Source organism: Homo sapiens, chromosome 5, assembly GCF_000001405.40.
Source record: "Homo sapiens chromosome 5, GRCh38.p14 Primary Assembly".
Taxonomy (NCBI): domain Eukaryota; kingdom Metazoa; phylum Chordata; class Mammalia; order Primates; family Hominidae; genus Homo; species Homo sapiens.
In genome coordinates this window covers 72,184,175-72,210,271 of record NC_000005.10, presented here as the reverse complement: position 1 = coordinate 72,210,271, position 26,097 = coordinate 72,184,175, and the positions used below count along the sequence as shown (strand labels likewise).

Genomic DNA, 26,097 nt, shown 5'->3' with positions numbered 1-26,097 from the left:
GGGTAAATGTGTAATAATCATTTGAATGACAGGGAGGAAATCCTCCTCTTGTTAGGTATTCTTTGCTACATATATAATCACTTTTTCCCAACAACTGCTAGTTCCTGGGTGTGAGTCAAATCCACAACATATTATGTTAGATAGAGGATATTCTGTAACAGTGAGCAAGGAACTAAGAAAAAGATAGGTACTGAGCACAATTGCTGAATATGACAGGTTCTGGTCTGGTCTATCTTTTCTTTCTTTTTTTTTTTTTTTTTTTTTAGAGACAGAGTCTCTCTCTGTTGCCCAGGTTGGAGTGCAGTGGCACAATCATGGTTCACTACAGCCTTGAACTTCCGGGCTCAAATGATTCTCCCACCTTGGCCTCCCAAAGTACTGGGATCACAGGCATGTAGCACTGCACCCAGCTATCCTTTTTTTTTTCTTTTTTTTAAGCAATAATTTTAATTGTTCCTTCCCTTCACCTCCCAGTTTCTGTCCTTACACGCTCACATCCTCTAGAGCTTGGCTATAAAAGTTAACGAGGTAGCAGTTGCAAGCATTAGCAAGATGCTTTCGGCAGTTTGCCAAAAGCCAGGGAGCCCATCTTGAAAAGAACGTAGTCACCCCCTGCCGTCATGCCCTGACTGCCCAGCATTCTGCGTGAGTGGCAAAGCCCAACTCAGGAACACAAAGCAAAAGACAGCACAGCACACACATGAACTTTTGCCACTTTTGTATTTTATTGTGGAACTGAGTTTTTTTTTTTCCTTTACATCAAATATCCTCAATGGAAGAGGGGATATTGCACACAAATATCATAAAAGCACTACATATTACTTTCACTGGAAACTAATTTTCTACATTAGATATGACTGGATAGGATAGAAGTGATGCAGGATTATAAGACATAATACCATACACAGCTGCAGACTGACACAAACACCATTCAGAACAAGAGAGAGGAGTGTGAAGTGCTTCTCAGCTGGGCTCAAGACCACTTCTTTCCAGTGCTGGAAAGAGGGGCTGCATGCAGTGTAGGAAAAGCGTGTCTCTGAACTGCCACAGGGTGTTCTCGAAAGGGCAGCCCGGTCTTGATGCCACTTCTCCATGGCTCCTGTTTTGGGGAGCTCCAAACAAGTGCAGAGAAGCTGCCTATTTTTTCCCTTCCTTTTCAGTTTTTGATGCTGCCTTTAAAAATCAACTTCATGAAGTCACAGATTTTTTAACAGTAAATAGTTTTAATACCAGGTGAATAACCTAATTGCTTTCAAAGAAATGCTCATCCCTAGGCTGCTTTTGGTGTATTGTTCAGTTGGTTAAAAGATAAAAGCTTACAGTTCCTTTCAAATGGAAACAGGATCTTTTCTTCTAAATCTGAAGCACAAAAAAAAAAAGTTATTATCCTAACTCACAATATCATTACTGAGCAGGAACCTCCTGTGACAGGTGACTAAAGAGAGGCAAGAAAAGCAAATTCAGAATTGTAGAGCAGCTCCTAAGAGCTGAAATTTGGTAACAGAGGGAAAATGAAAGGTGGTAAGATTTCCATTAGCAAATGATTAAATCTTAATTAAATGAGTATTGGAAAGCTCCTAGACTGCATAAGCTATTGGAGACACTTAAAACATTCATATACACTGGGGAAACCATTCACTATGATATGTAACGTTAAGAAAAAAAATTTTTTTGAACTCCATGGAAAATGGTGTTTAAAGAGGGGAGGAGGGGAAGTTAGTCATTGTATCCAGTCCCACCACAAGACTGAGAAAGCATGCACAGGGCTCAGGGTTTTGAGAAAGGGGACAGAATTGGTTAAAATTGAAAATGGAGGATCATCGCTAACATTTAGTCTCTGTAGAATTTTGTTTAAGAATACTACCAAAAAGGTCATGATCATGAGTGCTATCTCGATAGAATCCCATCATTTAAACAGAGTGTAAATTCCTTCCACTCAAATATTCAATCTATACAATTGGATTAAGTAATCAGTATGAACAAAGCTCCTAGAAGTCTGTGTCGATCTTTAGCTCTCACCATGAATGTACATGGTACATTGTGATGGCTGTTACTAAACTAATCGTGTATTTATGGAACTAGCAAAATTAGGTTAGTCACACAGGCAGGAAAGGTGTCTGGAAGGACAGGAGCAACCTGTAATGCGAATATTGGTTTTCTTGGTATACTCAGGCTCTGTGGTCATATTGAGAACAACGGATGGAGAAAGGTACTGATAGATTTCATAGGAAAAAGAGCCAGCTGACTAGTGACAGTTTTTACATATTTTTCCCATTAAATCCCATAGCAAAAAAAAAAAAAAAAAAAAAGAGAGAGAGAGAGAGAAAGTGAGGAGGGTGGAGTGGTTATAACTGAAGACTGGCTATAATTCTCCTACAATGTTTATAGTTTTTAAAGCAAAATAATGTTCAGGTTAAATACATTTAATTGTGAAATTGGAAAATAACTTGCATCTTCTGTCAAAGAAAAATCAACCAGAGGTCTGGATTTGGCAAGAAGGCTAAAAATCTGGTTTTCTTCCCACGCATTATGTAGACCAATTCAACTTAAGAGCTAACCATTAAATAATTATCTTGAGTATCTTAGGTTGTGTTATAAAATAAATTTGAAGTAGATGAGTTTATACTCAATGAAATTCATTGGCGTCACAATGACTTTTCCATCATGTGTTAATTTCTTGTACCCTTAATATGTTATTTTCCAAGGACTTGAAAGAAATGGGGTAATAAATAAAAGCTGCATTTCTAGAGAAGCCTAACAAAAATAGAATATTAATTTTCTTTAAAAAATTAAACATTTGAAAAATGTAATTCACAGCATTAAGTAGACTGCATAGGTCCTCAGTGAAAGGACCCTGAAGAAGCATTTTTTTAAACCCTCATCATAGTTAGCAGTGCAAAACATAGACTTATCAGACAAAAATCAACTAAAATGTTAATTTTGAAATAAATAACTAACATAGAAAATAAAATGAGGTCATTGTTCTCTACTCCGTAGATCTTAGAGTCTGCAGGAAATGTAATGTGACAGAGCACAGCACAGTTGTCACGGAGAAGTTTGCCTCATCTGAACACTGGGTGCATTGATCTGCAACTTGAAACTTGATGTCAGTGTTAATCATGATCTGGCTTCCCAGGTTCACAGTTCAATGATGACAATGATGGAAATTTTCTCTAAACTCTACATGAACCGTAGGAGTTGAGAATTCATTTGTTTTCAATGTACTATTTCTTTTATTTTTTTTTTCCAGAAAAGAAAATCCCAAAGCAAATTTGTGCTAGGGTTCTTTGAACTTGGCTCTTTTACCTCATGGTTGAAGATCTTGAAAGAAGTATGTAGGATACCACTGGGTGATGTACTTGTCAAGGCCCTGAAAAGTAGCCTACCATGCCATTCTCCCCCACTCTCAAGTAGCACTTTTATGTTATGGGAATCAAGGGGTGGGAGGTATCATTATTCCTGGTAGTTATGGGTTTTTAATAAATATCATTACTGCAATATCAGACTTCAATCTTGCCAGAACTTCAAAAAACATTATTCAATTTTTGTCTTACGAAACACTTAAAAAAAAAGACTATCACTTGAGAATTTTCTTTGCAATTTCCTGTAAATGAAAACATTTGTTAAAAAGTTCATCTATGAAAAGTTCTCACATATCTTAAAAAAAAAATTCTTCTGTACACTTGTTCCCATAATTATGTTGAAATTAATGGAAAATTTAAAAAGCCAATGTAAGACAAAGGAAGGTAAATACTGTACACTTGCTGAGAACCTCTTCCACCATAAGATTCACTGTTTTCCCAGTTCTGATCATAGAAGCCATTTCAGTCTTGAACTTGCAGTAGTAAAGAAGCTGTGAAAGGCACAACTTGTTTGACTGAGAGGCCACAGGTGCACTGAAGTGGGATTCAACACGCATGACTCAGCATCAAACTGTTGGACCAATCAGATCAGCTTCTAGTACCCCCACACACGCTCACCCACGTGTTCCTTTAAGTATCTATAATCCTATATGGATGTTTTATAAACTTGCTGTCTCACATTAAAAAATAAGTGCATCAAGTATCTTTGTACATTCAAGTCACTTCCTAAGGCAAATTGTCTACCATATGTACTCCCAACTGCTTTGGTATTTGCTTCAGTTAATTGGGGTGGACTTGGGTGTTGCTGCATGCAGGTTAATCGACTCAGAGTGGACTAAGTGGGTGGACAAATGCTGGGAGCATGCCTTAGATCAATCTACTTGTGTGTTTAGAGTCTGAGAGTTCTGAATGGGGCCCAAACCACTTGCATGGCCAGTCTACACTCACTACATTATGTCAGTGTGCAGCCTTCAAACTGAAGGAGCTTAATTAAGATGTGAAAATATCACATGCCCTCATAACAAGTGTTGTTCTTTTTACTTTCTTCTAGCCAACTTGTTTTAGAAAATTAAGACTCTTTTTGATGACTCAGACTGACAAAAATGGAAAACTTTGCCTATGTAGACTAAAGAATGCCTACTGCCTGAGAAAATGCAGACCTAATTGTTGGTTTATTTTCTCCTCCTTACCCCACCCTGCTCTCTCTTTTTCTCTCTGGGTATCTCACCAGAACTCTCTGTCATTACATCTCCTTCTCTTGCATTCCTTTTCTTTCTCATTCTTTCTCTCTCTCTCTCCTGCGTTATCTTTGTGCTCTCACTCTCTCTCACTCTCTCCCGCGCTCTCTCTCTCTCTAAGACAAATGCCTCTACCTAGCAGAAGTCAGTTGGGTTGGCTAGTGCATGGTTTCCAAATGTTCAGCAGAGATGAACTGGGGTAGGTAATTTTGCAGGAATTTGAACCCTATTGTGGAAATACTGTTATTTCCCTTAGCAATCAGCAAAAACTGAGAAATTTAGTGACTTGCATCACCATGACACAGTATAGCATTTGGCAGGTAATTGTTCAGCGACTTAACTAGATGAATTGACTTTTTAGAAAAGGTGATTTCAAATTGAAGAATTTCTGGAAACAAAGTTCAGATCCTGTGGTGTGGCTGGCCTTGGTTTTTACAGTTCAATCTTGCATGCAGGGAAGGATTCATCTTGCATAACCACTGTGCTGCTGCTTGCTAAAACCATGATGTTGAGATCTTGCTGTTTCTCATGGGTCTCCTGGTACCATTCCCTCATCACTTCTGAGTCATGAGTTGGGATCAGTGTCACCTGCAGGGAGAGAAAAAAAAAATAGCTATTTAAGGGCAGAAACAGAAACCATATGAAAAAAATTGAATAGCAAGGTATTAGACCACTGGAAGAAGAAGGGAAATGAGAGAAAACTTTTCTATTTTCCTCAAGAAATGCAAAGGATTTTTCAATGTATATTTTCCAGGAACCAGAATAAAGCTGCAAAGAAAAGCTATTGTTTCTAAGGGAAACTGAAGGCTGGAACCAAAAAGCAATTAATCAGTTTCTCAGTTCTTTACTGTTAAGAGAAGTGCTTCCGTTAGGGTACAATTTTTTGTATTTCCTTTAACACAACTGGTAAGTTTTGCATAAAAGATATTGCATATTTAATCCAAGGATTTTATCGCGCACTTCAAAGCCCTCAAAAGCCCACTCATTGTGAGTAACTAACATTTTGTCCTGAGAACAAAGATCTGCACCTTTACTTTATGTGTGTGGTTGGGGATGGAGGTATGGGGTGGGTAAGTAATGTCCTGAATAGTATAAATTCCATCTAGCATTCAGTAGGGAGCCACTGGGTGCCTCTCATTAGATTTCATATGATTAAATAACAAGTAATTCTATATAATATGATACAAGCACAATTTACTAGGTAATTTTGTACAGAACCACAAATAAAACTTGATAAGCAAAGATCACAGCTGAATTAATAATAGCTGGTTCTAAGAATCATTTAAGGCCAGGAGTTCGAGACCAGCCTGGGCAACATAGGGAGACCCTGTCATTAAATAAATAAGGGATGGTTTGTGGTCAGGCATGATGTTTGGGAGTTGGGAGTGTCCTGTGAGGGACTATATTCAGCAATGCTCCTGCTGTGGAATTTCACATGGAGAGCTGTTTTTCTAAATGGCCATATTCCTAGCCGCAGTCTACTCATAAAACACAAAGGAAGAAAGGCAATTCCTCAGGAGCTCTCATATGGAAATATGACCGCTTTGATTCACACACACAAGACTCTTGGCATACTGGAGGAAGGGCAATTAATCTTAGGCCCATTTTGCAGATAAATGGTTTCTGCTTTAGTTAAGGTGTCTTTCCTCCAAGGCCGTGGTTGGTGGTGGTGCCAAGAATATTATTTCAGACTACCTACTGTGTGTTAAACTGACTTTGTTCTCAGGATATTTCGTGTGTGACAGACACAGGAGGCACCTCATGTGGATCCACGATCAGCCACATGAGGTGCCTCTTTAAACATGGTTCCTTCCCATTGCCTCTGGACACAGCTCAATCGGCAGTGCAGACACTGTCGAGGAGTTCTCACCTGCATGTTGCTGCCCCACTGAGCCTTTCCTTCCAACAAAGCGTCCAGGACAGCCCGGCTGGGCTCCTCAGCAGCAGGGTCATTCCCACTCACCACGTAGTAGGAAGACCGCACTCTCTTGAAAAATTCCACATCAACATTCTTACTATTGCTGTGGTTAGGAATGTAGCACAGGTCCAAATACACAGGGAGGCCTGGGGGCACAGCAGATGACTTGGTCGTCTTGGTAGTTCCTGGTCCTTGGGTAAATAAACAAAGACAAAGCAAGGTCATAGCAAGGTGAAGAGACCATACATCCAGCACATGTTCCCCACTCAATCACACCTTCCCTATTCAATCACAAGTAGGTCCTCTGAGACATGCAAAGTGGTGACAGCATTTCCATCTCCCTGGTAATCTGTCAAGGGCATTTACGCTAGCAATGTGACAAAACATAACATGGTTGTTTACCACCTCAATAGGAGAAATGAAGAATGGGATAGTTTCCCTTTGTGGACAACCAATATTAGGAAGCAAGAAGAGTTTGAAGGCCTTTCCCAAGATGGCACTAGATATAATACTCCTCCTAAAGAAGTTGTTAATGTGTTTCTTTATTTGATAAGTGATCTAAGAAGTAGATTTTAAAAGTCAAAAGAAAACGTCTGTATTTGGCAAAACATAGCTAAGTGATCTTAGTGCTCTATTTTAGGGTCTCATTGATAGCAATTTTGTCCACAGCTGGATATTATACCCTAACATTCTACCTAGCAAATAGTTTTGATCTTAACCCCATATGATTTCCAAGGCCCTCAGCACCTCCATCTCATTCATAAACTGATGAAACACCATATTCTCTCCTTAGCACAGTATTCTGAAAAGTGATACTTCTTTCCCTAGACAAGGCTGGATGCCAAACTTGGGCAAAGGAAGGTTCAGAAAGACTAGGCTTTCTCTAGCTAATCAGGACATATCAGACTGCAACCAAAACCCCCAGTCAAATCACAAAGGTCTGGGAAAACTAACTTGTTCCAGTTAGGAAGTTTAAAGCTTTTGAAATGTTAATAGAACTAGCATTTTGAGGCAGTGGTTCTTCAGCCTGACTATATAATCAGAATCACCTCGGATGCTTAATACTGACACCCAGGCCTCATTCTCTAGAGTCTGACTTAAGTGGGCTTGGGTTGGGGCCTGGAACTACTGTCTTTTAAAAGCACCCCAGGCGATTCTAATATGCAGCTGGTTTCATTGCTGTAAAGCCAATTAAAACACCAGCTAGATTTTACATGCTTAATCCTCTTTCTCCATAGGATATTTAAAGACTATCATCCCAGATTGAAAACCACCAGCTAATTCTATCAACTGTACAGTTTTATTTTTAGAGAGGTTAGGGAGTGGTGAGAATCAGCCAAAGTAATAATTGGATAAGCTAATTCATTCTATGAATAGATCAATAGTTTATTTTAATGAATCTGAGCCGAAAGCCCTCAAAATATCCAAAGAATTCCTAAAGAATTCTGACTTGTACTAGAAGTTTGTGAGTTACAGTTCTTCCAGTAATTAAACATGTCTGCCAATTTCGCCCTCTACTCTAAATCACTACCATCAACATCAAATGAATATTGCTCACAGAAGCACAAACTGACAGAACTGCCCAGGTTTGCTTTAAAAGTCAATTAGTACTGCAACTTTGCCTTTTTAGACATCTAAAAGCATCTCCAAAATAAATGAAAATTAACTCATTTTCACTTATTACTTTGCCTTTAAATTACCTCTTTAAATGTCCAAAAAAAGTTTTTTTAAAAATTGTGTGGGCTAGGATGTATATGTTCTGGCAAATTTGCAGTTGGTTTTATCTGTTTAAATGGATTTCATGTTTTCTCCTAAGTGCAGGTCAGTTGTCAACTCTTTCAGATGAAAGGGTTAATTATCTGGTGGTTTTTCATTCATTTTAAACATGAAAAAATTCCGATTATTTTCTATGTGCATGTAGAAAGGCCAAATGTGCTGAGAACTGAGCCTTAAAATTGATACTCCATATTGTTTAAAGTAAAAATTTGCAGTTTTAACAAATGTATCCTAAAGTGTACTTAATTGGAGAGCTCCAAAGATTACTCTATCAGATTTTCCCTAATAAATCAGGGCAATGTTATTTAAATTATGTTGTGCCTTACATGTTTGGGTCCATTTACATTACTTTGTGAATTGTGATCTAAAAATCTCTGAATAATTACCTAAAGCAAATAAAATGTATGAATGCCAATCCTTGTGATTGATGTGAAGCAACAAAATGAAGCAGTACTGCCATAGACCAGTTCCATCAAAAGCCCAGGTCATTGCTGAGAACCTGATAAATCTGAGAATCATGACCAAAAACATGAATGATCAAAAATCAGGGATACCTGCTCTTGCCAAGTGGCATTTCATTTGCTTATTTATTTATTTTTGAGAGACAGGGTCTTGCTCTGTCACCCAGGCTTGGCATGCAGTGATACATACAATTCTGGCTCACTGCAGCCTTGATCTCTTGGGCTGAAGTGATCCTCCTGCCTCAGCCTCCCAAGTAGCTAAGACTATAAGCACGTGCCACCACACCCAGCTAATTAAAAAACATTTTTTTTTTTTTGTGGAGACAGGGTCTTGCTATGTTGCACAGGCTGGTCTCAACTTCCTGGGCTGAAGCTAACCTTCCATCTCAGCCTCCCAAAGTGCTGAAATTACAGGCATGAGGCCATGCATCTAGCTTCCCAGTGGAATTTTAATCTGAAATAGCATTGAGTCTCTACTAATGAGGCCATGGGGTAAGAGAAGGGTAAGAGCAGAGCCATCAATGTTTTTCTCTCAATTTTCACCGGACACTCACTGGTCAACTGAAATTATAGTATTTTTTGGCTGATAAGAAAATGGAACACTGCCTTTAATGAGGATTTATCTCCAACCTGGTGATGTTTTAAATAAAAATGTAAACATTTTTAATTTAAAAAAAATTTTTTTTAAAAAAGGACTCTAAATCTTGGGTCTAGACTGGTTGATCCAGTCTTGATGTGAAACCTCTGGTTCTCCTTAGGCCTTTGGGAGCTCCTGGCCTGTGTTACCCTGCTGGATTCTGAGGCCAGTATGGCTGAAACCAGTCTTCCAGAAGCACCTGAAAGACACATCCTTGGTTCTGAAGATTTAGAACAGGGCTGTAGTTGCTGTGTTCGAAAACGGCACAAAATCAGGAATCCCAGTGATGAATCACAGCTGCTTTGAACCATACACTGAGCTATTTCCAAGCCTTAAGGCCACACTGGACTGAGATATATACCTTTGGGCAGAGGAGAAGAGTACAGGGAAGGTAAAGCATCAATTGTGCTCCCTCATCTTCCCAGTACAAAGCCAAACAGGGAAATATAAAGGCTGTAAACGCAAGTAGAATGGTTGTGACATATATCCAATGCCCAGCCTTCTCAACCTACCTGCAGTGGCGGTCTTGGCCGACTTGGATGCAGAGGCATTGGCAGCATTCTTGGTCTCCTTGTCTTTCTCTTCCCCACGTGCAGCTTTGACCTCAGGAGTGGTGGTGGGTTTTGCTGCCTTTTCCACAGATTCTTTCTTCTTAGGAGAAGCCACCCTGGACACTTTATCCGAGGATTCTTTCAAGCCCGCTGGTTTTGGTGAAGCTGCCAAGGGCTTAGACTTCCCATCACTCTTTTTGACAGGTGAAGATGACTTGGTCTTTGTACCTGGCTTTTTGGTTTTGGTCTTCTCTTTCAGATCTTTCTTTAGAGCTTTGCCCAGGTTCTGCTCAATGGCCAAGGCCTCTGGGTCCACCATGGACACATCAGGGTGGCGTGGCGAAGGGCTGCGGTCTTGCACGGGAGCTGGAGGTGGGTCCATGTGTTTGTACGTGACAGTTTTGTCTGTGGGGATGGTTTCCGACTCGTCTTCAGAGTCGATATTGGCATCGGCCGTGATGGAGGGGCACTCTTCAGTCTCCGGGGGAACATCAGAGTCGGTCTGGGATGGGGCTGACTCGCTGACTGAGGTGGGAGGGGTTTCATCACACTGTCGGCCCTGTTGCTTTCCTCCTGGAGGCGGTGGGGCTCCCCCTGATTGAGTGAGGGGCTTTTCAGATTCTTCAGTGGGTTCTTCACTGGCAAACCACTCAAGAGGATTGGGATTAATGAAAGAGGGTGAAAGCTCTGTCTTGGGGTGCTTGTATTCACAAGAGGACACGAGGCATAAATCGACATCCTGACGGGCTTCTGAGGGGGACTTCTTTTCTGCAGTGTAGCATAGGTCTGAAGTCTCGTAGGAATATGTGGATGCCTGAGGGGTTCTAGTGATTTTCTCTGCAGTCTCGTAACAGTATGTGGAAGTATCAGGGGTTCGTGTTGTCTTTGTAGATGTCTCATAGGAATAACCTTCAGACTCAGGGAAACTGGTAATTTTCTCAGTGGTTTCATAAGAGTAGCTGGGGTCCCCAAGTGTGTGGCCACCATCCTCAGAGTCATCATAGCCATTGCTGATGTCATCCAGAAGCCTTCTAGACCTCTCAGTCTTTTCATAGCTGTAACCACTCACTTCGGGGGGGCTGGTGGTCTTTTCACTTATGTCATATGAGTACCCACCCTCTTCAGGGGTCCGTGTGGTCTTCTCAATAATTTCATAGGAATAGTCACCATCTTCAGGGGTCTTGGTAGTTTTCCCAATGGTCTCATAGGAGTAGCCACTGTCACTTGGAGATTTTGTGGTTCTCTCTATCTTCTCATAGTAATAGCCACCCACATCTGAGGTCCGGGTGGTCTTCTCATAAGACTCATAGTCATAATCTTCTTCATCTGGGGACCTGGTTGTTTCCTCAGGCTTTTGATAGGCATAGCTAAAGTCACCAGGTGTCTTCCCTCCACTGTCCTTCTCCAGGCCAGGTGTGGACAAATCTCTATTCAAGGCTAGATGGTGTTGCATTGTATCGAATAACACTGAGGCACGGAAGCCATAGGGCTCTGCGGATGCTGCATCTATTGGTGGAGAAGAGGAACTGTGGCAAGTTGCTGTTTTCTCTTTGACTGCAGAGGTAGAATCTGAAAAAGTAGGTGAATATAAAGGAGAGGACTCTCGTGGGGTGAGTGGAGAGATATCAGATTTTGGAGAGAGCTTCTCTCCTTCCAGACTTTGCACTTTTTCAGAGGTGAGTGAGGCATATAAGGACATATCTCTGGGAGGAGCAACATCGGATAGAGTATCTTCTTGGAGAGGAGAAGCGATCTGAGAAGGGGTATGAGCAGAAGAGGTGGACGGGGAGGCCTCTACCTGAGATACTGAGATGAGCTCAGAAAGATCATTATCTTGGGTGTAGGACGGCTCCTCCATAGGTGGTATCTTATGTGATAAACTGGAGTCCTGCATGTCAGAAGGACTGTAGTCCACTTCAGTTGGCCCATTTTCAGTGATGTGAAGCACGCCTGCACCCACTGTAGGGTGATCTGGAGACTGTCGACTGAAGTCCATAGCAAGGGATTGCTCAGGAGATTCTTGGCCAAATTCAATAGACATTGAGGACTGTTCAGATCTGTGATCTTGAACGGGTGTCCTGGACTTTGCAGTTTTAGGGGAGAAATCTGGTGGAGAAATTGACATCGGTCTTGGGCATTCTTCTTTAGATGGAGACATTTCTGTTTCCTGGAATGTGGTAGGTGTTTGCACAACAGACACTGAAAGGGAGTCATCTACTTCTGTGGAATGTGGGGAGCCAACCTCAGCATGCAGAGATGGAGACACATCATCTGTTGTTGGCTCTGGAAATGAGCTCGTAGCCACTGAGGCTGTGGACACTGAGGCCACACCCTCCATATGAGAGTACGTGTCTTCTGCTACGCCCTCATCAACAGGAGTAGCTGACTTGTCTGAGACAGTACCTTCAGAAATGGACATCTTAGTGTCTTCTTTAAAAGATCCAAACTGACTGACATCTATTTGTGTGGGAGAAACATCTCCTAATTTCCTTTCATCCAGAGCCAGTGCTGGTTGAGAACTCATGGCTTCAACATCATCAGTTTTCTTTTCTTGGCCAAAGTCTTCTTTTATTGGTGCAAAGTCTGTGCTTTTCCCTTCCTGTTTGTCTTGGTAAAGACTAGTAGAAGTCATTTCAGAAACTGGACTTACTTGGTCTGGAGAGCCTTGTTTTCCACTCTTTTCTTCAAAAGGACTTTCGGCACCTCTGCCAGAAGCCTTGTCATCAGCACTTAGAAAACTTTCATAAGCAGACTCGGATCCAATGAGGGGCGGGCTGCGTAAAGGAGACAAAACTTTTTCAATAGGAGACTCTGAGTCAGGCACGGGCTCATCCATGGGGCTTACTGAAGCCCTTTCATTCTCATCTTTGGCATCACTGAATTCAAAACTCACTGGAACTGCTGGTGGTTTTTCAATGACTTCTGTAGGGAGATGACTGGATTTCTCGTCAGTAGGAGATTGATAGTAAGGTGTGTGACCAGCACTGCCAGTCACGGACTGAGATGGTGACACCACTTCCAGAGTCTTGTCCTCAGGACTAGCACAATGTTCTTCAACTACTTCTTGGGTCACCTCAGGAGACACCGGGGCTACTTCTGCCTCTGCAGAGACTTTAATCTCATTGGGCGTCAGAGAGAAGTTCACACTACGTTCACCCAGGGGGGTCTTTTCTAAGGGTGATGGTGGAGATGGACTCAGGGACGGGCTCTTCGATGGGCTGACCTTTTCACTTGAAACAGCTGAGATGCTATCTTTGATGTCCAAAGTGGTGCTGGCTTTCACTTCAGAGCAGTAAGCATCACGTAAAGCAGATCTGCTGAATTTGTCTTCCTCCATGGAAGAGGGTGGTGATATGGTAGAGGCTGAAGCATTGTAATCCTTGCCATCAGTGGCATCTGTTTTTGATCCTTCAGAAAATCCGTTGAGCGGTGTAACATCAGCAGGTTTAGAGTATTCCTGAGAATACAATGAAGATTCATATTTGGTGATATTTACGAATTCCTGAGAAGGGGACTCCGTCTCTTCATTGTTGGTCTCATCACTCATCACGTCTCGAGGGGTAGACATCTCATCCATGGGGGTGGGCTCACTGGATATCTCAATAGTAGACTGAGTGTAGCCAGAGGTGGCAGTGAATTCCTCAGGCTGGTCTTCTCGATTCTCCTCATCAGAAGCGGTGGCCTCGCTCTCTGAGCCTCCAGGTAAAGTCTCATCATGAATTGAAGATGCAGGTTCTCGGCCAGGAGACTGGGCTCCTAGTTGCTTGGTTGGTGTGGTGAGGAATCCATACTGCTCCTCGGCACCACCAGCCTCTGCAGCCTTGTCGACCACAGCCATCACATAGTCTTCAGCTTCCATTTTTTCCGGCTCATATTCCTCCTCTCTGGCATCTTCAGCTTTGTCCTCCTCATCAGCCTCCTCTTCAGATTGTTCAGCCTCTCCTTTCTCAATGGCCTCATCCATGTCTTCTTCGGCTCGGTCATCCCCACTGGCCACAGACTCCCTCTTCTCCCTGATGTATGCATCAGCCTCCGCCTTGGCACTTTCCTCATCCTCAGTGGGGCTGTGCTTGGAGGCGCTCACACATACGTGTTCCTCCCCATCCTCTTCTGGCTCCTCAGCCTCCTCAGTTTCTGCCTTCTCTTCATAGTCTCCAGTCTCTGAAGATTCTTCAAAACCGGCTCCTTCATCTTCAAATTTTTCAATGTCGTCTACTCCCTGCTTCTCGACGGGCTCCAGCTCCTCAGGTGTCTGTTCACATTCGCCCTCCCCTTCAGTGGTAGTGATTCCCTCATCAGGGGACTCGGCAGGACCTTTGGTGACTTCTCTCTCCTTCTGGATGACGTAGGCTTCGACTGGCTCAGTTTCCTTCAGTTTCTCTTCGTCTTCGATTAGCTCCAGCTGAGGCTTGATGTCCTTTGTTACATCGACCTCTTCAGCCTTTAACTCTTCAAAGTCCTTGGTTAGATCCTCAGGAGATGACATAAGGGACCTCTCAGCTTCGAGTTCTTTGGCAGGGCCAATGGCTGCTATTCCAGCTGCCGCCATGACAGCTGCTGTGGTGGCTCCAGTGCCGACAGCTGCAGCGACAGCCTCTGCGGCCTTGCCTTCCTTCTTAATGACTTTTATTTTCCCCTTCTCCTTTGGCTTTCCGGCAGCAACAGAATCTTTCTTGACAGACTCTTCCTTCTTGGGTACTTTTGGTTTTAAAGCAGCTGGTTTTTTTGCTTCAGACAGAGGAGTAGATGATTTCTTTGCGTCTTTAGGGAGCTTCTTAATTTCTTTTTTGGGTTCCTTTTCTTCCTTTTTCACTTCCTTCTTCTCTTCCTTCTTAACTTCCTTCTTGACTTCCTTTGGCGGTGTTTCTTTCTTAACCTCTTTCTTGGGTTCTTTTTTCTCTTCTTTCTTGATCTCTTTTTTGACTTCTTTTTTCACCTCTTCCTTTTTTGGTTTTTCCTCCTTCTTGATAGGTGTTTTGTCCTCCTTTTTAGCCACTTCTTTCTTTGGCTTTTCTTTCTCCTCTTTCTTGTCTTCAGGCTTTACCTTTGTTTCCTTTTTCACCGTCTTCTCCTTGGCAGCTTTGGGTTTGACATCTGTGGCTTGCTTCTCAGCCACCTCGGCTTTCACTGGAGATGGCTCTTCTTTGCTGGGAACCTCCTTTTCAGTCACTGAAGGTTTGGTCTCTGTTTTTATTGGCTTGTCTTTTTTCACCATTACCTTTTCTTTGCTTTCAACTTTGGGTGGCTTTTCCACGTGATTCACTTTTGTGACCTCAGGGGTTTCTTCTTTTGACTCCTTGCGCACGGATTTGCTAGGAAGTGGTTTTGCGGCTGGCTTCAGACTTTCTCGGCTATCAGCCCTCTGTTTCAGTTTTGTTTGTTTCACCACAGGAGTGGGCACCTGGCCAGTGAGATCCTTTTGGGTGGCCAGTGGCTGCTTCAGAAAGTCTAGATGTTTGAGCTTTTCCAACCCTTCCAGGATGTTGTACTGGGTGCTGTTCCCAGGAAACAGGACTCGGATGATTTTCTCCGCAGGGTTTGCTGGATGCCACACAATCAAAGATGAGACTGAAGTTAAGTAGGAAATCGGGAGATCTACTTCTTGACCATTAGGCAGAATGAATTCAGCCTTGTCTTTGTTGGTACCAGTCCACTGCTGCATAAAATACTGCATTTCCTTGCTGCTCTTGACTGGATTAAGCACATACATCTCAAGTTTACCTACTCCCATTTTTTGGAAAAGAATGACAGGATCAATAGTATTGCCTACACTTCTAAACAGAGGTTCTGGTTTCATGGACAATTTGTTTAGGTACTGGAGAGTGAAGCAGGCTTCTTCTATGCTTCTCTTCATCTTGATGTTTGGCTCTGGATTTTTGAGATTTTCAGGTACATTGAGAAATACAACTCCTAAGTCAGGGGAGATGAGGTTTTTCATCCAGTCACTATTTGTGGTGGAGCCCTGGGACTGTTCTTCCTCGAGCTCTGCAATTTTCCGCTGTAACATGCTGTTTATTCCAGGCAAATTGTCATCCCCAATGTGGGTGAGCAGGATGGAGTCCACTCGGTCTAAGTGTCGGATGAGCTTCCAGAAGCAGGATTTTCTCTCTGATCCGCCATTGATGAGCATATTGAAACCATTCACTGCAAACAAGGCAGAATCGCCCCTCCCTCCTGGAAAAATATAACAGCAGGGCTTGGAGAGCTTCAGAAATCCACCCGATGTGGGAGGTTCCAAGATGTCAAAGGGAGATGGGACTTCCACTGATTCTGAGAGATACTCGGTAAACTCAGAAAGTCCTTCCATTTCTGGCAAGATAGAAGCTGAATTGAGTTTAATATTGATGAAGTCTTGGAGATTGTGTCTGTCAAGATTGGAGTTCTTCCAGTCCCCTTCTTCAGGACAGAACAGGGTTAAGCTGGCTTTGTTGGCAGGATGGGTGGTGCTTAGTAACTCCCCGATCTGGGTTTTAAAGAAAGAAAGAAAGAAAGAAAAGGTGTAAGTGATTATCATCACTGATCCATCATCTCCAGCTATAACTATGTGTTACAGGATCACAGGATGCACATAGGACCAGTTTCAGACATGCACTCTCATAGTGATGTTGGTTGCTTAAATGCTGAAATACTTCCCTACTGGAAGGTGAACAGCCTTTGTCCTGAGCCCCGCTGCTACTGGCTTCTACCTCAACCAGTACCCACTCGCCCTGGCACCTCCCCAACAACCCCTCCACCATCTATTCCTGCCCAGCAGGGGAATGCCAGTACTCTGCTCCAGTTCTAACACCAGTGACCACCTGGGCAACTGAGGATTGTGCTGCAGTGGTTATGAAACACTTTGAATATTACCCCTAGAATAAAGGCAAAGATGCCCTTTAAAAAAAAACGTTAAACTATCACAAGAGAAAGCTGTCTGGGTCATTTCACCACTAATAAAAAATATTTTCTTTTATTCCACTAGACTTGGCAAAAAAAAAAAAAAAAAAGGCCTGATGGATACCTTAAAGAAATTCAGATTAACAGGGCACTTGTTGTGGCCTCCTTTCAGGATCTGGCATGTAAAAAAGAAAAAACCTTGGTGGGTTTTTCCCCATAGGAGACAAGAAGTTACGGATTGCCTATTACTACAAAAAATTACTGGTTTCTGGCATCAGTGCACGCTGATTGAAACATGAGTGGGTCACCCAGCATATTCTCTGCAGATACAAATACTTTTTTATTAAAGCCATGACATTAAAGTGGTTTGGCCAAGTTCGTTCCCCATTTGCTCATGTTTAACTCCACAGTGAGCCACTCTGTTCTCTTACTGCTCCCATTCTTTTCAGGGCAAGTTGGGTGTGAGCAGCTAAGATCAAATGTGGCTGAAACATTTTTCAACACATTGTTTAGTACTTCCCAAGGATGTAAACATAGAAAAGCAAATCAGGACCAAAACAGAAATTGTGGTTTAATAAAAACACTACTTGTCTCTCTCACTCCATATTATGGCCATATATTTCATGGTCTTAGCCTAGCAAATTAGTGATGGAGAATCATGCCATCAACTCCAATATTCTTTCCGTCTCAGTAAAGCTCACAAATCAGCTCAGAGTTTCGACTGAAAAGGGCTCTGTATTCTGGATGACAAATGATCAAGGGGTAAAGCCAAGGTTTCATTTGGTCCAGGCATCCCTGAGCCAGCAGGTCTGAACTCTTACCTTCTAGTATTAGATTAGTTTCCTCTATCTCCTGACTATCAGCATTCTGAGGCTACTATTATGAATGTGTGTAAGAATAATTTATAGAATCTGAGTTTTCCTATATTCGACTGCAATATTGCAGTAAAATAGTCATTTTTGTTTTGTTAGCATATTAGTCCTAAGCATAACATTTTATGTAAAGGGCCGCAAAATAACAAAATAATAAAACTTTGCTGTTTTTCTGTGACTTCACAATTTTCTGTAAAAAGGATAAGAATCAACTCCTGTTTTTGGGAGCTAAGAAAAGTGAAAAAGCAAATGGTAATACCATCTTTGGGTAGAGGGGACAGGCATCTTTGCTCAAATGATTTGCTGGCCAAAGCAAACATAGGGCATCAAATATGGTTTTTTGTACAATAGTTAGCAGAGACTCTCATCACAATCACTATAGCACAATTAAAAGTCTCTAGATCCCAATTTTCACACAAAGCACATGCAAACTATTCATGTTTTATAATATGTTTTAGGGGGCAAATCTAGAATAACTGCTGTATCTTTAATAGTGAAACTTAAAAATTAAGTTTAGTTCATTTTAATTTTTGAAATTCCACCCTAGCTGAGAGGTGTGGCAGCCAAGGGTATAATCCAGCTGTGAGTAGGGGGCATTCAATCACTGGCTCTTTTTATGTAAAGTATGTAATTACCAGGTTGAAGCAGAAGGTAGAAAGACTTAAGGAATATCTTCCTACTTTCCGTCTTTTCACCTCTATCCAGAGAATTTCTATGAAATGCAGGAAATGACCCCAAAACAAAACAAGATTGCACAGAATTCTGAGAAGTCAGAGGTCATGAAAGATAGCCAAGAGACACTGGTGAATGAACAACCGTGATGTACAAGGCAAAGCAGAAAAGAAAGCCAGCATTGCTTTGACAGGTTTCTTTCCAGAGAAGGAAAATCTGGTCCCTCTGAAGAAACAGCAGCACATTCTGAATGATGAGACAAGAATGCAGAGACAGGGCTGGACAGAGCCCTCAGTCATAAAACAGACAGATGGAATTGGGCAGAGGGAGGAGGAGGAAGAACAACTCCTACATCCTTGGAACTACACAACAGAATGAAGCCCGTGTTTTCCCCCACAGCCTCTTTCCAGACCTGTGGGCCAACAAGCACAGTAGAGAGTGCCTCAAGGGCAAAGACAGGGTCTTAAGAGTGGCCAGCCCACGGCAGCACCTGACCAAGCTTATTCAATGAATAGATGAGAACCATAAGGAGGATCCAACAATGTTAGCAGTGGCAAGGAAGCTTGTGACTAGTTCTTAGACTTGGAAACTGAGGCTTCTTCTGAACAAATTGGGAAATCATCACCATGATAAATGGTAACTATTATAACCCACTACTCTAAACATTTCTGATAGCAGGAAATATATCTTCTGTATCTTTGTATCTTAGTTATCTTTGTTTCCTCAATACATAATCAGGCTCAGTAGATGTTTGTTGATCTGTGTGCCAAACTTGGCCAGTTCAACACATGTTATCTTCCTGGAGTGGGTACTTCAGATGTAACCACACTGAGTGCTACCCTGGTTCTTACAAAGTTGGATGACAGATGCAACAAGGAGGAATATGCTTTGGGACAAAGATAATCTTTTTTGTTAATTACTTTTTCTGATTAAATGCAGGCATACTGGAAGAGGAAGGAAGATGTAAGAAATAAATGGTTTTACTGCAGATGAGATTAATGAAACAAGATTTGAATTTCTAAACCATGGCCTACGAACTACATTTCCTTTTTGATTAGGTTACTTGCTTGGCTGATGAGGAAATACAGTAGACAGTGTATCTCTGGGTTTTAGCCAGACATTTAATAGGACCCCTGAACAGTGTGATAGTAGAATTAGGTGGATTTCCAGCCAGCCATATAAATAGTGCTGCTTAATGTCAACCTGGAGGGAGGTCTATGATGGGCTGCCTCAAGTCTCATTTTCTGGCCTGTATTCACTTGGATAAAAATGGCGAAGGCATGCATATCATATTTGTGCATGGTATGAAAATGGGAGACACAGCAAAATGTGGAATGGCAGAATTAAGGTATTTATAAAAGCTCTTGACATTGGGATGATGGTGGCTAAGTCAATTCTAACAGGATGGCATTCTAAAGGGATAAATGTAAGGTTCAATAAACCAGCAGGGTAAACTACAGGATTGGGAGATGTGGCTTAACAATAATATCCATGGAAAAGACTCAGGGATTTTAGTTGACAGTCAAATGGATTTATCATGAAGCCAAAGAAGCTTAAACTTCAAGGTACCTCATTGGCATGGCCCTGTACTTAACTGTATATTAATAATTGTTTCATTTTTCTTAAAAAAGAGCCCTTAAATTATATAAATTGTCGAGCCCCTCAAAGCCTGCATCTCTTCCCCATTGACTTCCCCATTGACCATTAATGGTGTATGGTGATGGTCAAAAGTCACTTTTAGACTTCTTTAATAGAAGATGGTATTGAAAACTATAGACATTATCAACTCTCACAATCCTAACCTGGTCAAATGACTCCTGAATAGGGTGTCCAGTTTGAGTCATGACATTTTAGAGAAATTAGACCAACAAGCAAAAACCTGAAACAAGTCTCCCTTACTGGCTCCTTCCTCTTGGCCTTATGACCTGTCAACACTGGACCTGGGCCCTTTCTCTTCTTAAAATGTTTCTCACTCTAGGTCACATCATGTGTCTTCTGGGCTTCAAATACCTCTAATATGCTAATGGATTTCAAATTAGTATCTCCAGCCCGACTCTGAGTTCCCTGAGCTCTGTTCTCATAAATCCAACTGTCTGATTTCAAGGCACTAAAACATGACCAGGACTAAACTCCTGAATTCCCCCCATACCCATCCCATCTCCTCTTCTTTTTATTTTATTTTTTTAATGTTTTAAGTATAGTTTTTTTTTTTTTAAGAGACAGAATCTTGCTCTGTTGCCCAGGTTGGAGTGCAGTGCAGATTATAACTGAGTGCAACCTAGAACTCCTAGCCGCACGTGATCCTCCCACTCTGGCCTCCCAAAGTACTGGGATTACAGGCATGGGCCATAGCACCTGGCCTTCACCTCCCTTTCTTGACAGAGGAACAAGTTTGAAGGACAGTGAGCAGGGTTATGAAGAACTGTGGGTAAAACTGAAGATGATTAATCTGAAAGGGAAAAAATCGGCAGTGTTGGTGAAGGGTAACTAAGACACTGTAGGTGGGAAAGGGATCACATCACTTCCTTGAAGATACAATGAGACAAATAAGGAAAAACTTTCCAACACAGAGACTGAAAAATGTCCCCAGGAGATGATGATTTCACCATCCCTGGATTTCAGGGAGGAGTGGGGTTAGCCAGACAATTGTACCGTCTGTTAGTTCTGGTTTTGTTAATTGATCTCCAGTGATTAAGACTCCAAAACCTGAAGCTCAAAGTGTACTGATAGTTCTATTTTTTCAGTCCATTTATTTTTAGCTGTTCTTATATTTTTTAAAAAGTATCATTTTTGTTTGTCCCAAATTGTGGTTTTGGTTTCCCTGGAGTTAACTAGTATGTTTCAAGGACTGGATAAAAGGAAAAGAGCTGGACAACAAGTGGTCTTCAAGGTCCGTTTGTTATTCAGTTACTCAACCATTTTTCCAAGGCAACAATGGGCAATCCTAGCTCCAAAAGGCTGATAACCACTGGTCCAGTCCAGTGGTTTTCAATTCACTTTAGCTGTGGCATCCTTTCTTTGTGGGTGGCAGAAGAGAATATGACATGGTCTCTGACCATAATGATACCTGCCTGAGTATAATCAAAATATGTGTCCTCCAGAACCTACCCCAATAAGTATAAACCCTGGGGAATCTGCCCTTCCACGGAACTCGAGTTCTTCAGTTAGGGCAAATTTTTTTTTCTGTAATTAGTGGCAAAATCTGACACGTGCACAGTCCATGGTGCTAAAATTTTGCTTCCATAATCTAGTAAAAATGATTAAGCAGCAATATTCATAACAACCTTATTTAAAGAAGGGGAAGGAGGGATATTATTTGAGATGCAAATATGCCAAATCGTGTTACTTCCTTATTGAAAATCTTGGCAATGACACTTTTCTTTACATATTTCCTTTGTCTGGTTTTTCGGCAAAAAAGACAAACCAATGACTTGGGTAGAAACCAACCACTAGAAAATAACTACAGAACTGCACAGGAATGTGGAAAGTGCCCATGTGCATGCAAATGAGCTATAAGCAGGCCACTTAACTGCTCACCATGTCATTGGGCCACTTCCAGCCTTCTGCAGCTTTCTCTCTTCCCTGAGGCAAGATGCTAATAATGTGTGTGACCCCAGAGCTACTAGACAAATGCCCACCTGCCTCCGGGTACAACATGCACATGGGGACATAATCTTGCAAAACATTCTGACATTATAGTGATCAAACAACAACTTCAGGACAGTAGGCAGAGTGAGAATTGTAGCCCTAGCTTTGGAATTTCAATGCAATTGAACAGCGGCTTACTAGGCCTTTACTATGTGCAGGTGCAATGGATACCGAGATGAATGAGGCAAGATGCGTGAACTCTAGCGGCCTTGGAAGAAGACACAGCCAAAGCTTGCATTTTGAAGTGGTAAAGATGAACCAACTGTGAGTGAGCTCTGAAGCCTCTGAGAAAGGAGCTGCCTGCCTGGGGGATCCCATCCTGGTATGTGTTTCAAGATGCAGATGACGCCACACCTTCTGACAGCTGTGGCTTCAAAAATGTTCCTTTTCACAGTTTTACATTCTCCCCACCCCAGTGGCTGGAGAGTGAACATTATTATGCCTTCTGATCAGTGTTTTTAAAGAAGCCTCCAGGTGACTCAGATGAAGTTGGGCAGTGTGCTTACAGTTCTTGCCAGTGATGAAAAGTACAAACAGAGCTTTCTCTGAACCTCAGGGCCAAGGAAAATTAAGTGCAGAAGGACACGTGGCCCTTCACAGTACACATGAGACAGACAAGCCACCACCTCAGAAAGACAGTTTTAAACAGATGTGGGGACTCTTCTTATCAGAACATCCCTCAGTCCCTCCATGTAGAAATCTGCTATCGGCCACAGGCAGGCCCCAACCTGCTATGGGGATGGGTCTGAATTGTTTCTGTAATTGCTATAAACATGTAAGCTAGATAAACAAGGTGCATTACTTTGGAAAGTTTCCCAGCCAGGATAAATTCCCAAGCAGAAATAAGCATATCAAAATCTTTGATCTCATTTTACAAAATACGACTAACTTCACACAGTTTTCAACACTTTATATGTGTCATCTTTGAATAAGATACGCATTAGAAATATGAATGATCCAGCTTCAGTCCAGCTACTTTAGCCATCTTTTTCTTGGGTCACAGACGTGCCCCATTTTCCTACGTGGCTCCTTTTGTAAAGCCCTCTCTCTTTTGTGGGCTGTTCAAACAGCCCAAGTTCAAACACTGGGGCCAGGCATTAAAGTAAAAGAAATCTGAAATAATTAGGCCTGGAAAACGAGGTGCCAAAAGCCCCAGATATCTTTGGAGTATTATTTCAGAAAACAGGAAACGCAGGTTTTCTTTTGGGCTCTGACATTTCAAGTTTCTCCATCATTTTTACCATCTGTAAAGTGTTGACTGTTCCAACCCCTCCCATCTATATCTCAGGCACATTAAGAATGATTCCAATTAATTGTAAATGAGTGCTCTAAATTCTTTTGGCAATGAGCCATAGAAATAAAGTATTTTGGATCATGCAGTTTTGCTTATTTCAGGAGAGCTGTGAGGTTCCCTCCCTTCTTCTTTTGTCTCCCCCAGTGCTCTCAAAGAGGAACCTAAGGCAACCAAGCCACTAGAAGCACAGATATTCTCAGACACGAACCTACCTCTTGATCGGTGAAAATCTCTATGAAGTTCTGGAAGGAGAAAGAGCCGGACTGGAGAATGAGCTCTCCGGTATTTTCAAAGCACTGCCCGGTCAGCACGAGCAGCTTGTGTCGGGCAGCATCAGTGATCATTAAGCGCACCTGAAATAAAGCACAGAACGTAGGCCCTGAGCCATGGGCAGTGCTGCCATCCCACCTTCAGGACAGGGCTAGCCTTCGGAGCCATGGGAGTTTATTACCAGCAAAAAGCATTCATTCCCCAAAGGTCTAATTTCTCCTGGAGGCCAGAAGAGCACGGGAGGGTTGAATGGATCCCTGGCTGTAGGATCATCCACAAAGCCAATAAGTGTAGTTATCAGTTTGCCCAAGAATGCCATTTTCAAAGTTTCTCTACAATCACGACAGTAGCGATAGTTGACTTTCTCCCCCTAGTTTCCTCCTCTTTTTCAAAGCAGTCTTCACAGCTGGTAATCATTTGTTCCACAGCTGTTAGAAATGTCTGCTAGCAGCACGTGGTCTGCGAAACCAGGGAAGACGGAACTATCTCACAGGCTGAATCACCATGTACAGTCCAGGTTCCCCAGTGGCCTCCTCAGTAAGCACGGTGTTCCAAACTAGGGTCCCAAACCAACCCCTCCCATATGCCCTTCCAAGGCGTGCAGCAAGCACACACACAGCTCCACGGCAGTCTCCAGTGGCATCAGTAAGGTGCTTGACATTGAATATAAAGAAAAGGCTGCCCCTAAATAGCAATCTTTGAGATAATTGCACATGGTTTGCGCTAAGGAACTCTCTGTGCACTTTTCAGTGGCAGGAAGCCAGCTGTCCTTCAGCAAACACCACTCTAAGCACCAAGGTATCCATTCTGAGCCCAGTTCATGAATGTTCAGCACATCCTACTTGCCAGGCATCATGTTAGGCACTGAGGGGAGGATACAAAAGTAAACAGACCATGACCCCTTACCCAAGAACCCCACAGTGTAATCATGCAAAAAACACATGTACCTAAGTAATTGTTTCAGCCCCATCTGCTCCACAGGCAAGCCTGGATTCCTTTTATAAAATTCCATATTTTTCCTTTCTCACAACTCTTCCGGGCAGTTTGCCTGGACATATATTAATTTTCCAGCTTTTTTTTTTTTTTTTCTCCTTTTGAGACAGGGTCTCACTCTGTTGCTCAGGCTGGAGTGCAGTGTGCAGTGGCGCCATCTCGGCTCACTGCAACCTCTGCCTCCTGGGTTCAAACAATCCTCCATCTCAGCCTCCTGAGTAGCTGGGACCACAGGCATGCAACACCATGCCCGGCTAATTTTTTGTATTTTTGGTAGAGACAGGGTTTTACCATGTTGCCCAGGCTGTAATTCTCCAGCTTTTTTCAAGCTGTAATTACTTCCCGATTCTGTTAGTAACAGAGATTGCTATCCCATCACTTTCCTCAGCTTCACACCTTCATGGATTGTCAGAGGTCCTGCTGATCTAAAGCAGGCAGAAGTCAGTCATGACAGGTGACATCACAACAGCCAAAAAGTGGAAGCAACTCAAGTGTCCGTCAACTGAGGAATGGATACACAGATGTGGGCTATCCATACACTGGCACTGTTCAGCCTGGAAACGAATGCAGTACTGACACATGCTACGACATGGATGAACCTTGAAACTGTTAGGCTAAAATAAGCCAGACACGCAAGGCCACATAGTATATCATTATATTTATATGAAATGTCCAGAATTGGCAAATCAGGACAGGCAGGTTCGCAGTTGTCGGCATCGGGGAAGAATGGAGACCGACTGCTGATGAGCTCAGGGCTTTTGGGGCGTGATAGACGTATTCTAGAATTAGATAAGGGTGATGGTTGCAAAACTTTGTAAATACACTAAAAACCACCAAATTACACACTTTAAAGGGATGAATTTTATGGTCCTTGAATTATATCTCCATTTACAAAAACAGGATACAGTCACAGAGATGCTCAAAGTGTGGGTAGAAGGGACGCTGCAAACAATGAAGGTTCCCAGGGACTTTGGCTGCTTTCATGTCCGAGAAGCAACTCTATCTCAAAAGCGCTCAACTATAATAAAGGAAGTGGAAAGTGGAGTGATAGCAACTCCTCTGGCCTGGGTGACCAGGGACTCTTGGCTTCAACCAAGTTCTTATGTCACACTGGGCTCCAAAATACCCAGTGACTCTCCATAGCAACAGTTTCATATGGTGGTAATAATAACAATCACAGCTAATATTTACATTTCAGTCATTATGTGCCATGCTCTGTTCTAAGCACTTGGCACTTCTAAGCACAACATTAAATATGAACATTAAATGTAGAAACTATTATGACCCCCATTTTACAGAGGTGCAAACGGAGACAAAGACAGTAAATAACTTGCTTGAGGCTCCCACCTAGTAAGAGGCAGATGTGGGATTATGAACCCAGGTGACCTGGTGCCAGCCCATGCTCCTGACCACTATGCTAGCCTGCCTTTCCACAGCGATAGGAGTGTGCAGGAGAGCTCTGAATGGGGCTTGCATTGAGATGCCATTCTTGAGATGCCATTCTTCTCCAGGTTTGCCCTGTATGTCGC

The 26,097-nt window shown here is 42.4% G+C and overlaps 1 protein-coding gene across 2 annotated transcripts in view, besides 1 other annotated feature; it reads right to left on the bottom strand.

The window, feature by feature from the left end:
• Nucleotides 1-706: 706 nt before the first annotated feature.
• Nucleotides 707-26,097, bottom strand: part of MAP1B (microtubule associated protein 1B) — a 102,091-nt gene continuing 76,700 nt past the window's right edge. For both annotated transcript variants that reach the window (NM_005909.5, NM_001324255.2), the window contains 4 exons: nucleotides 23,518-23,658; nucleotides 9,905-16,406; nucleotides 6,471-6,709; nucleotides 707-5,188 (listed from right to left, as the gene is read on the bottom strand). In NM_005909.5, coding sequence (NP_005900.2) covers nucleotides 5,033-5,188; nucleotides 6,471-6,709; nucleotides 9,905-16,406; nucleotides 23,518-23,658 — 7,038 coding nt within the window. In that variant the 3' untranslated portion in view covers nucleotides 707-5,032. The remainder of the gene's footprint in view (nucleotides 5,189-6,470; nucleotides 6,710-9,904; nucleotides 16,407-23,517; nucleotides 23,659-26,097) is intronic.
• Nucleotides 15,289-15,378: an enhancer, noted in NCBI's record as "active region_22644". NCBI's record gives its function as "activates an Ori minimal core promoter by ATAC-STARR-seq in GM12878 lymphoblastoid cells {active_cell/tissue: GM12878}" and the evidence as "EXISTENCE:reporter gene assay evidence [ECO:0000049][PMID:35858748]".